At 45.4% G+C, this 12,643-nt stretch overlaps 1 annotated feature.

The window, feature by feature from the left end:
• Positions 4,681-4,840: a silencer, noted in NCBI's record as "silent region_3391". NCBI's record gives its function as "represses an Ori minimal core promoter by ATAC-STARR-seq in GM12878 lymphoblastoid cells {active_cell/tissue: GM12878}" and the evidence as "EXISTENCE:reporter gene assay evidence [ECO:0000049][PMID:35858748]".

Below are 12,643 nucleotides of genomic sequence, written 5' to 3'. Positions count from 1 at the left end.
ATGTCTCAAAAGAAAAACAAAGAAAGTGGGCCAGCTGCTTGTTTTTGTAAATAAAAGTTCTTTGGAGAACGTCATCATGGTCACTTACTTACATGTTATTATATATTGCAGCTTTCATGCTATTATGGCAATGTTAAGTAGTTGCAACAGAGACCACATGGCCCACAGCCTTAAATACCATCTGACCCTTTAAGAAAAAGTTGGCTAATCTATGTCAGAGTATGCCACAACTTCATAGATGCCAAAAGCTGACAGTGAGGCCAAATTACTTATGGCAAACAGCAGGAACATCAGCATGGCAACCTGGGGGCCCCCTGCTCCCAAGTCCTATGAGTGACACAATGACCCCAGATGGTGCTGCACTCAAGGAGTTATGCCACAGCTTGGTGGAGCCCAGAGCCAAAGGCTCAGTACCCTTTTTAGCAAGCAGCAAATAAAGCCAGGCCCTTTCCACTGGGGAGGGAGAAATTATACTATCATCACACTATAGTCACTTTGGTCTACTTAATTGCTTCTGTGCTCAGTATCAGGAGACAGACTTTCTGGTTTGACATAGTAAGAACATGCAGGGATGCTTAGGACCCATGCAAGACTGTCCCAACAGCCAGTGCCCTTGCTAAATTGATTATTTCTAGGAGGCTTGTTATGTACATGATCACATCATCAGTAAATAAAGACATTTTTACTTCCTTCTCAATCTCTATACCTTCAATTTCTTTTTCTTGCCTTATTGCACTGGCCAGGACTGGCAGTGTAATGTTGACTATAAGTGGTGATGATGGATAGTCTTGTCTTGTTCCTAACCTCAGGGGAAGCGTTCAATATCTCACCATTAATATGGTGGCTATAGATTTTTTTTGTAGATACTCTTTATCAGATTAAGAAAGTCCCTTATTATCCTAGTTTGCTAAAAGGCTTATGATATATTTTATTAAGTGTGTTCTCTTAATCCGTTGAGAGGACTATATGATTTTTCTCCTTTATTCTGCTAATATGAATTACATTGATTTTCAGAGGTATGACCAACCATGTCTTCCTGGAAAAAATAAAAAACCCATTTGCTTATGAGACTGTACAGAAAAAACTTAACATAGCAGACCTGAGGCTGCTGTCTTTGGAGAGGCCCAACTGCAAGGTTGACCCTTGCCTGGCGTAAGGGAACTTGGCTTTTGGTAGTGTTCCCACCAGTTTAAAGTGGCTCACAGTGCCTAAACTGTACAAACAATGTGGCTTATGCTAAATACCTGTTCTCCTTCTCAGAGTCTGGAGTTTTGAAACATGTTAGGCAGAGGGTGCCTTCATGATCAGCTCCCAGTAAAAACCTTGGGGGCTGGGTCCAGTGGCTCATGCCTGTAATCCCAGCACTTTGGGAAGCTGAGGCAGGAGGATCAATAGAGCTCAGGAGTTCAAGACCAGCCTGGACAACACAGTGAGACCCTGTCTCTACCCAAACAAAAAAATTTAGCCAGGCATGGTGGTGCACACCTGTAGTCCCAGTTACTTCGGAGGCTGAGGCAGGAAGATTGCTTGAGCCCAAGAGGTAGAGGGAAGAGGCTGCAGTGAACCATAACTGTTTAAAAAAATAAAAATAAAAAAAATAAAACTTGGACCCTGAGTCTCAAGTGAGCTTTCCTAGTAGACAACATTGCACATATGTTATCAGAATTTGTTGCTGGAGGAATGATGAACGTCTTGTGTGATTCCCCCTGAGATAGACCTCTTGGAAGCATGCTGCTAGTTTCTCCTTGACTGTGCCTCATGTATCTTTTCCCTTTGTTGACCTTGCTTTGTATTTCACTGTAATAGATCAGAGGCATGAATACACCTGTATGCTGGGTCCCATAAGTCCTTATAGCAAATCATCCAAACTGGGTGTGATCTTGGAGACCCCTGACACAGATATGTTATCCTTTTTATATGTCACTGGATTTCATTTGCTAATTTTGTTCAGGTTTTACATATGTATCATGAGAGAGATTGGTCTGTAATTTAACTTTGTCAAGGACCTTGTCAAGGGTGGGTATTAAGGTTAAGGTGGCTTCATCCAATAAAGCGAAAGGTATTTCTTCTTTTTCTATTCTCCGGAAGAGATAGTGTAAGCTAGGTAATATTTCTTCTTCAAGTATTTGAAAGAATACACTGATGAAGCCATCTAAACCTAAATTTTTTTTTTGGTGGGGGGGAGTTTAAAATAATGAAATCCCTGTACTATATATAAGAACATTCAGATATTCTACTTCTCGAGTAAGGTTTGGGTGAATTTGTGTTTGCATAAACCTTGAATAAGGTTTGGGTAAATCATTTTGTATACATTTCCAGATGTATTGGTGTGAAGGTTTTCATAACATTCCTCAATTCTTTTTTTTTCTGTATTATAAGTCAGTAGTCAGGCTGGGCGCAGTGGCTCATACCTGTAATCCCAGCACTTTGGGAGGCCAAGGCAGGCGGATCACTTGAGGTCAGGAGTTCAAGACAGCTTGGCCAACATGGTGAAACCCCATTTGTGCTAAAAATACAAAAAAATTAGCCAGGTGTGGTGGTGCATGCCTGTAGTCCCAGCTATTTGGGAGGCTGAGGCAGGAGAATCGCTAGAACCCAGGAGGTGGAGGTTGCAGTGAGCCAAGATCATGCCACTGCACTCCAGCCTGGCAACAGAGCGAGACTCTGTCTAAAGAATAATAATAACTAATTAATTTTTAAAAATTAAAAAAGTCACCAGGCAATCCTTAAATATTACTTAATGGATGTAAGAACTGCAGTGATGTCCCTTTTCTTTCATATTTTTTTCTTCAATAGTTTTGATAGGTGTTTATCAATTTTATTAACGTTTTATTTTTGTTTTTTATTTTTTTTTATGAGACAGGGTCTCACTCTATCGCCCAGGCTGCAGTGCAGTGGCACGATCTTGGCTCACTGCAACCTCTGCCTCCCAGGCTCAAGCAATTCTCGTGCCTCAGCCTCCTAAGTAGCTGGGACTACAGGCATGCACCACCACACCTGGCTAATTTTTTTTTTTTTTTTTTTGAGACGGAGTCTTGCTCTGTCGCCCAGGCTGGAGTGAAGTGGTGCGATCTCGGCTGGCTGCAAGCTCCGCCTCCCAGGTTCACGCCCTTCTCCTGCCTCAGCCTCCCGAGTAGCCGACTACAGGCACCCGCCACCATGCCCAGCTAATTTTTTTTGCATTTTTAGTAGAGACGGGGTTTCACCGTGTTAGCCAGGATGGTCTCGATCTCCTGACCTCATGATCTGCCCGCCTCAGCCTCCCAAAGTGCTGGGATTACAGGTGTGAGCCACTGCTCCCGGCTTTTTTTTTTTGTATTTTTAGTAGAGACAGGGTTTTGTCATGTTGCCCAGGCTGGTCTCGAACTGGTGAGCTCAGGCAGTCCACCTGCCTCGACCTCCCAAAGTGCTAGGATTACAAGCATCAGCCACCATGCCTGGTTTCTTATTATTATTATTATTATTATTTTATTTTTTTGAGACAGAGTCTTGCTCTGTCACCCAGGCTAGAGTGCAGTGGTGTGATCTCGGCTCACTGCAGCCTCCGCCTCCTGGGTTCAAGCAGTTCTCCTGCTTCAGCCTCCCGAGTAGCTAGGATTACAGGCGCCCACCACTGCGCCCGGCTAATTTTTGTATTTTTAGTAGAGATGGGGTTTCACCATGTTGGCCAGGCTGGTCTCGAACTCCTGACCTCATGATCCACTCGCCTCGGCCTCCCAAAGTGCTAGGATTGCAGGTGTGAGCCACCGTGCCCAGCCTTATTAATTTTTTTAAAAACAGCTTTCGACTTTCTTTTTCTTCATCGTATAAAATTTGTTTTCTATTTTACAAATTTCTGCTCTTTATAATTTCCTTCTTCTTACTTTCTTTAGGTTTTTTGTTTTGTTTTGTTTTGTTTTTGTTTTTGTTTTTTGAGACAGAGTCTGACTCTGTTGCCCAGGCTGGAGTGCAGTGGTGCGATCTCAGCTCACTGCAGCCTCCACCTCCTGGGTTCAAAGGAATTCTCCTGTCTTAGCCTCCCAAGTAGCTGAGATTGCAGGTGTGTGCCACCACACCCAGATAATTTTTGTATTTTTAGTGGAGATGAGGTTTCACCATGTTGCCCCCAGGCTGATCTTGAACTCCTAACCTCAAGTGATCTACCCGCCTCAGCCTCCCAAAGTGCTGGGACTACAGGCATGAGCCACTGCGCCCAGCTGGGTTCAAAGTGTTTTCTAATTTCCCTTATGATTTCTTCTTTGACCCATGGGCTATTTATAAGTGTATTTTATTTTATTTATTATTTTATTTTATTTTATTTTATTTTATTTTATTTTATTTTATTTTATTTTATTTATTTTAAGACAGACTCTCTGTTGCCCACGCTGCGGTGCAATGGTGCGATCTCAGCTCACTGCCACCTGTGCCTTGCAGGCTCAAGCTATTCTCATGCATCAGCCTCCCGAGTAACTGGGGCTACAGGTGCGTGCCACCACGCCTGGCTAATTTTTGTATTTTTAGTAGAGGTGGGGTTTTGCCATGTTGCCCAAGCTGGTCTGGAATTCCTGAGCTCGAGTGACATGGTATAGGCGTGAACCACCGTGCCCAGCCTTATTTAATTTCTGAATATTTAGTGGTTTCCTAGTATGGCAGTTATCAACACTGCCTCAGCTCCAGATTCACTCTCAGTACCTGTTCTGTTCCATGATAACCGGATCGACGCTAAGCATTTATCCCGTACAGTGAGTACAGTGTTAAGCTTTGTCAGCAGAGGGCACTAGAGGGCTATTGCAGAAACAAAGAGGCTCTCCCGGGTTCCAGTGTGCAGCCTTCGGATTTTTCTAAGGAAACCATGGATGTCAACTATGACCGTGATTAGTTACAAAAATGATCAGTTACAAAAACGAGGACTGTAGCAGCGATGCATATTCTTCTTTGCTTCTTACATGCATGTGTTTATTTGTATGTACTGACCATGTCTTTTGCCTCCCTTTGTTATTTTATGTGCAAATTGTTGGAGGTCAACTTTACAATCTAGTTTTTAGGTAATAGACACAGGTAATAGTTTTTAGGTAATAGTTTTTAGGTAATAGGGATCACGACAAATCTGTGGAGTAATCTAGCCAGCTATGGATACAGTGACTGTTTGGACTGTGTGTCTTATCATTTGGGGGAAGGCTGAGAACTTCACTTTTAGAGAGGAGATATCTTGTTAGTAGGAATGTAGCTACTAAGGGAGTTCAAAATTTGTGTAAAGAGTGCATATGGTAGTGGAGTAGCTGGAAGAATGGTTTCTGCCAGTTACCTATTTTTTGCCTCTCAGCTTCATTATTTACCTACCCTTCGGTGTCTGTTAAGCGATAACTAGACTCGAAGCATTTCTCCCTACAATGAGTACAATGTTAGGCTTTGTCAGCAGAGGACGCTAGAAGGACATTGCAGGAAGGAAAGGGCTTGTCTTCTGGTTCCAGTGCACTCCAGCTAGGGGCCTTGCTCCATCGTCCATCAGCAGGGCACGCCTTGGGAGATCTGCTGGTGTTCCACTCCAGCTGCACACCCAAAGCCGGCACTCCCTTGGCAACTTTGCCGATCTGGTCTAGGCCCCGTGACCAACTTGCTGTGGACTCCTTGTCATGGTTGCCGCTTACTCCAGGCCTTCCACCTGGGGCAGCTCCCTAACTCTGTGCACCTGCCCCCTAGTCTTGGCTTACCTATGCCATGGATGGTTTTCCCCAAAGCCCTCCAGGCATGGACAACGTGCGGTCAAGGCTGTGCCCCAACTTCCTCTGTGCGTCTGCTCACCAATCTGAGTTCTTCTGCATCCCAGAGGGTTGATTCCCATCCTCCATATCCTGTGTGGACACCATGCACTCCAAGCACATGGGGCATTCCAGCTCTTTTGATGCATCTGTCTGACAGCTGGGGCTCACCTGCGACCTGGAAGGTTGTTTCCTAGGGGCCTCCCAATGCGGGTGCTATGTGCTCTGGGCAGGTGGTGTTGCTATGTGCTCTGGGCAGGTGGTGTCCCCATGTGCTCTAAGCACCTGCCTACCAGCCTTAGCTTGCTTTTGGCCTGGAGGGTTGTTTCTTGCCTGGCAACTGTGAAACAGCTCTGGCCTGGGCTAATCAGTGAACTTCACACTGCCCAGTGAGTGGCATGCAGTGAAGTCTGAACCCCTGCCTTGGGGGTGGGGACCCTACTGAGTTTGCCCTTCCTTGGGTACTTCCCTCTTTACTTCCTTATAATTCCTCTCTTATTATAGTTTAATACTTTTTTACTTTTTCTATTTTTTTTTTTAATTTTTTTGAGACAGGGTCTTGCTCTGTTGCCCAGGGCTGGAGTGCAGTGCTGCAGTCATAGCTCACTGCAGCCTTGACCTCCTGGACTCAAGCAATCCTTCTGCCTCAGCCTCCCAAGTAGCTAGGACTACAGGCACATGTCACCATGCCTAGCTAATTTTTTCTTTTTAATAGAGACAAGGTCTTGCTATATTGTCCAGCCTGGTCTCAAACTCCTGGTCTCAAGTGATCCTCCTGCTTCAGCCTCCCTAAGTGCTGGGACCGGCTGGGCATAGTGACTCACTCCTGTAATCCCAGCATTTTGGGAGGCCGAGGCAGGCGGATCAGTTGAGGTCAGGAGTTCGACATCATTCTGGCCGACATGGTGAAACCCCGTCTCTACTAGAAATACAAAAATTAAACAGGAGTGGTGGCACATGCCTGTAATCCCAGCACTTTGGGAGGCTGAAGTGGGATGATTGCTTGAGTTGCTTGAGGCCAGGAGTTTGAGACCAGCCTGGTCAACATAGTGAGACCTTCATCTTACTAGAAAGAAAAAATAGAAAAAAATTAAAAATAATCTTTATGTTTACCTAAATACTATCTTTTTTTTTTTTTTTTTTTTTGAGATGGAGTCTCACTCTGTCACCCAGGTTGGAGTGCAGTGTCGAGGTTTCAGCTCACTGCAAACTCCACCTCCCGGGATCAAGCGATTTTCCTGCCTCAGCCTCCCGAGTAGCTGGGATTACAGGCATGTGCCACCACACCCAGCTAATTTTTGTATTTTTAGTAGAGACAGGGTTTCTCCATGTTGGCCAGGCTGGTCTCCAACTCCTGACCTCAGGTGTTCCGCTTCGGCCTCCCAAAATGCTGGAATTACAGGCGTGAGCCACCGTGCCTGGCCTATCTTTTGTTTGTTTGTTTGTTTGTTTGTTTTGAGACAGAGTTCAGGCTGGAGTGCAGTGGCGTGATCTCGACTCACTGCAACTTCTGCTTCCTGGGTTCAAGTGATTCTCCCTCTGCAGCCTCCCGAGTAGCTGGGATTACAGGCATGGGCCACCATGCCTGGCTAATTTTTTTGTGTGTTTTTAGTAGAGACAGGGTTTTGCCATGTTAGTCAGGCTGGTCTGGAACTCCTGACCTCAAGTGATTCACCTGCCTTGGCCTACCAAAGTGCTGGGATTACAGGTGTGAGCCACTGTGCCCCGCCTTAATGTTTCTTATAGTGCAGCACTAATTCTCTTAGTTTTCTTTTATTTGAAAATGTTTTTATTTCAGCTTCATTTTTTTTAAATTTTTAAATTTTGTTTTATTTTTAGTAGAGATGGGGTTTCACTATATTGGCCAAGGTAATCCTGAACTCCTGACCTCAGGTGATTCACCCACCTCGGCCTCCCAAAGTGCTGGGATTACAGGCATGAACCACTGCACCCAGCCCGAGGTTGCCTGTCTTTTAATTTACTGAGATAATATTTTCTTTTCTTTCTTTCTTTCTTTTTTTTTTTTTTTTTGAGACGGAGTCTCGCTATAGCCCAGGCTGGAGTGCAGTGGTACCATCTCAGCTTACTACAACCTCTGCCTCCCGGGTTCAAGCGATTCTCCCGCCTCAGGCTCCCGAGTAGCTGGGACTATAGGCACATGCCACCACGCTCGGCTAAGTTTTGTATTTTTAGTAGAGACGGGGTTTCACCATATTGTTCAGGCTGATCTTGAACTCCTGATCTCAGCTGATCCGCCCGCCTGGGCCTCCCAAAGTGCTGGGATTATAGGCGTGAGCCACTGTGCCCAGCTTTGAGATAATATTTTCATTGATGCTTTCATATCCTTGTTTGTTAATTCCGATATCTGGACCATCTCTTTGGTGGCACTTGTAAATGTTGGAGACTCTGGTTTCAGTTACTTTTCCCCAAAGAGTGATGTTTTTTAATTTTATCAGGCGGTTAGCTCAGTTACATATATACTACAGTCACCCTTATTGAGTTGGCAGCTCCAATTTTCAGTTTAGATCTTTTTTATTTTATTTTATTTTATTTTTAGAGATTGGGGGGTGGTTCCTCACTATGTTGCCTACACTGGTCTTGAACTCCTGGCTTCAGCCTCCTGAGTAGCTGGGATTATAGGCGCAAGACACCACACCTGGCCACTTTAGATCTTCTGTCTTTAACTGAGCTGCGTGGAGTCTGAGTTCCCTATGTGGGGTTCAGAGCTTGGGCGGAGGTGTGGGCAGACAGAATGTGGGGATTTCCCTCTCTGGCTCTTTCCCTTCTAAGATTCCCATCTTCCTCTCTAGTGGTTTCAGTTGCACACACGCAGGACCCTGTTTCAATATTGAGAAAGAGGCCGGGCGCAGTGGCTCATGCCTGTAATCCTGGCACTTTGGGAGGCTGAGGCGGGCGGATCACGAGCTCAGGAGTTCGAGACCAGCCTGGCCAACATGGTGAAACCCCGTCTCTACTAAAAATACAAAGAAATTAGCCGGGCATGGTGGCGGGCGCCTGTAATCCCAGCTATTCGGGAGGCTGAGGCAGGAGAATTGCATGAACCCGGGAGGTGGAGGTTGCAGTGAGCCGAGATCGGGCCACTGCACTCCAGCCTGCGTGACAGAATGAGACTCCGTCTAAAAAAAAAAAAAATTGAGAAGGAAAAAAATCTTTTATCTGAGGAATATGGGTCTCTTTAAATTGTCAGGCTCGGCTGGGCGTGGTGGCTCACGCCTGTAATCCCAGCACTTTGGGAGGCCGAGACGGGCGGATCACGAGGTCAGGGGATCGAGACCATCCTGGCTAACAAGGTGAAACCCCGTCTCCACTAAAAAATACAAAAAAAATTAGCCAGGCGTGGTGGCGGGCGCCTGTAGTCCCAGCTACTCGGGAGGCTGAAGCAGGAGAATGGCGTGAACCCGGGAGGCGGAGCTTGCAGTGAGCCGAGATCGCGCCACTGCACTCCAGCCTGGGGGTCAGAGCGAAACTCCGTTTAAAATAAATAAATAAATAAATTGTCAGGCTCAGAAAGATGTTTAAAAACATAGCCACGGTCACGTCTCATTCCCTCTTGAGAAAAATAATTACCTCTTGAAGCCACTTGCTATGTGGACTCTAGACTAACTGACACCAAGCTGCCATAAAATACCATAAACCCTATAGTTCAACAAGGTATAGCCAATCACGAACCAATGTTCCTTCTGCAAATCAATGATAATTCCTGACGAACAATTTTATAACCACCTCCTTTCTTAATTAGCTTGGTTTAATTTTTTTTTTTCTGTCGAGACAAGGTTTTGCTCTGCCGCCTAAGCTGGGGTACAGTGGTGCAATCACAGCTCGCTGCAGCCTCAACCTCCTGGACACAAGCAATCCTCCCACCTCAGCCTCCCGAGTAGTTGGGACTACAAATGCACACACCACCACACCCAGCTAATTTTTAAAATTTTTATGTAGAGGCCGGGTGCAGTGGCTCAAGCCTGTAATCCCAGCACTTTGGGAGGCTGAGGCGGGCGGATCACGACCTCAGGAGATCGAGACCATCCTAACACAGTGAAACCCCGTCTCTACTAAAAATACAAAAAATTAGCCGGGCGTGGTGGTGGGCGCCTGTAGTCCCAGCTACTCAGGAGGCTGAGGCAGGAGAATGGCATGAACCCGGGGGGCGGAGCTTGCAGTGAGCCAAGATCGCACCACTGCACTCCAGCCTGGGTGACAGAGCAAGACTCCGTCTCAAAAAAAAAAAAAGAAAGAAAAAAAAAATTTTATGTAGAGATGGGAGTTTTCCTATGTTGCCCAGGCTGGTCTTGAACTCCCAGATTCAAGTGATCCACCCTTCTCAGTCTCCCAAAGTCCTGGGATTACAGGCATTAGCCACTGCATCTGGCCAGAACTTTGCTCTTGAATACACTGTCTTTAAAACACATTCTGACCCTCTTGATTATTTTAAGTTAATGATAGTTTGTCTATTTCTTCCATATTTTCCTCTTTTTTTTTTTTTTTTTTTTTTTGAGACGGAGTTTCGCTCTTCACTCTTGTTGCCCAGACTAGAGTGCACTAGCACGATCTCGGCTCACTGCAACCTCCACCTCCTGGGTTCAACAGATTCTCCTGCCTCAGCCTCCCAAGTAGCTGGGATTACAAGCATGTGCCACCATGCCTGGCTAATTTTTGTTTTCCTCTATTGTTGACTCCTTGTCTTCCTTTTTTAACAGTTAGATCACCTGTTTCTATTTCCTAGTTTTTCTCTTGTTTTATTGATATGGCCCTACCTTTTAGCAAACTAGTAATTTTTATTAGACCCAGAAATTGTGTATAAAAACTTACAGATGTTTTTTCTTCCAACTTTTCCTTGCTAGGCACATAGAATGAGTGCTGATCACTTTAACCCCATCAGGGACTTTATGGTTTGAGGCTGCACTACAATTTTTTTTTTTTTCTTGAGATGGAGTCTCGCTTGGTCTTCCAGGCTGGAGTACAGTGGTGCGATCTCGGCTCACTGCAACCTCTGCCTCCCGGGTTCAAGCGATTCTCCTGCCTCCGCCTCCCGAGTAGTTGGGACTACAGGCGTGTGCCACCACACCCAGCTAATTTTTTGTATTTTTAGTAGAGATGGGGTTTCACCATGTTAGCCAGGATGGTCTCGATCTCCTGACCACGTGATCCGCCCGCCTTGGCCTCCCAAAGTGCTGGGATTACAGGCATGAACCACCGTGCCCAGCCTGCATTACAATTTTGACAAATTTCAGTCCACCTGTTTCATCCTGTTCCCAGTAAGGAGCCCTCCTGAGCATTCATATGAAAGCCCTGTGTGTTTGCCAATCCCTTTGCCCAGGTGGGTCCTAAATTCGAATCTTCATCGCTATCAGTCAGAAATTCTACTCTGCTTCTCAGAAGTTTGGGGCTTATTTTTTTATTATTATTTATTTTGAGACGGAGTCTTACTCTATCACCCAGGCTGGAGTGCGTTGGCATGGTCACTGCAACCTCCTCCTCCTGGGTTGAAGTGATTCTCCTGCCTCGGCCTCCTGAGTAGCTGGGATTACAGACACGCACCACCAGGCCTGGCTAATTTTTGCATTTTTAGTAGAGACAGGGGCTCACTGTGTTGGCCAGGCTGGTCTCTAACTCCTAGCCTCAGATGATCCGCCCACCTCAGCCTCACCAAAGTGCTGGGATTGCAGGCATGAGCCACCATGCCTCACCAGAGGCTTAGATTTTTATAGCCTCTAGTTCTACACAGCTTCAGAATTTGGTAAATATCTTAAGGAAAAAATCTGTTATGTTTTAAAGGCTCTTTGACTCCCCAATTTTCTTCCTCCAGTGTTATGAGATGACTCAGCTCAGCTGGCTTTTCTGCAACCTTGTCTGGGCAATGCTTGGATTCTTAGCCTCTTGCTCAATTGTAGAATTAGTAAATACCCCAGGGAGAATTCTGTTGCAATTGTTAGCTGGCTTCTCTATGGTTCTCCGTACTCTAGAATTTTAGGTCTGCTGGCCCTTCTTGCTTCACCAGCTCTCTGAGGGTATTAAAAATATGATTTTTCAAGATTATTATTTAGGCTGGGCGTGGTGGCTCACGCCTGTAATCCCAACACCTGGGGAAGCCGAGGCAGGCAGATCACCTGAGATCAGGAGTTTGAGACCAGCCTTGCCAAAATGGCGAAACCCCATCTCTACTAAAAACACTATATATACACACACACACACACACACACACACACACACACACACATATATATATATCTCACGACACTGCACTCCAACCTGGGCAGCAAGAGTGAAACTCCATCTCAAAAAAAAAAAAAAAAAAAAGAAAGCCTCAAACTGAAAATCGTATATATATATGACTTTTTTTGTGTGTGTATTTTATCTGACTTTTCTAGTTCCTGACTGGAGTGTTGGTCAGTTAGAAGAATGGAAGTCTCTAAGCGCTTTCAAAGTGCTTCTTTCCACTAGGTGCAGTGGCTCACGCTTGTAATCCCAGCACTTTGGGAAGCCCAGGCAGGAGGATTGCTTTAGGTCAGAAGTTTGATACCAGCCTGGGCAACAGCAGGAAGGCCCTATCTCTACCCAAAAAAATTAAAATTAGCCAGGTATGATGGTATGTGTGGGTGTTTTCCCGCACTGACAAATTATTCAACATCAGCTGGGTGTCCTACAATTCGATTCAATTCTGACACTACATGGAGTTAGCATCAGAGCCCACAGGTTAAGTAAGGCTCAGTCCCACAAGAATGTCCCCACTTCAAATGCTAATCGCAAGTCTGGCTCTCTGGTACTTCTGACCCACTGGCTATGAATCAGAGATTCCCACAACCCTCTCCTTGGGTTCAGTAATTTGTTAGGATGGCTCATAGAACTCATGAAAACAGTTTACTTACTAGATTGCTGGTTTATTATAA

The sequence above is a fragment of the Homo sapiens genome, chromosome 11, assembly GCF_000001405.40.
Source record: "Homo sapiens chromosome 11, GRCh38.p14 Primary Assembly".
NCBI lineage: Eukaryota > Metazoa > Chordata > Mammalia > Primates > Hominidae > Homo > Homo sapiens.
Note: the sequence above shows the minus strand (reverse complement) of the source record. Positions and strands in the feature narration are given on the sequence as shown.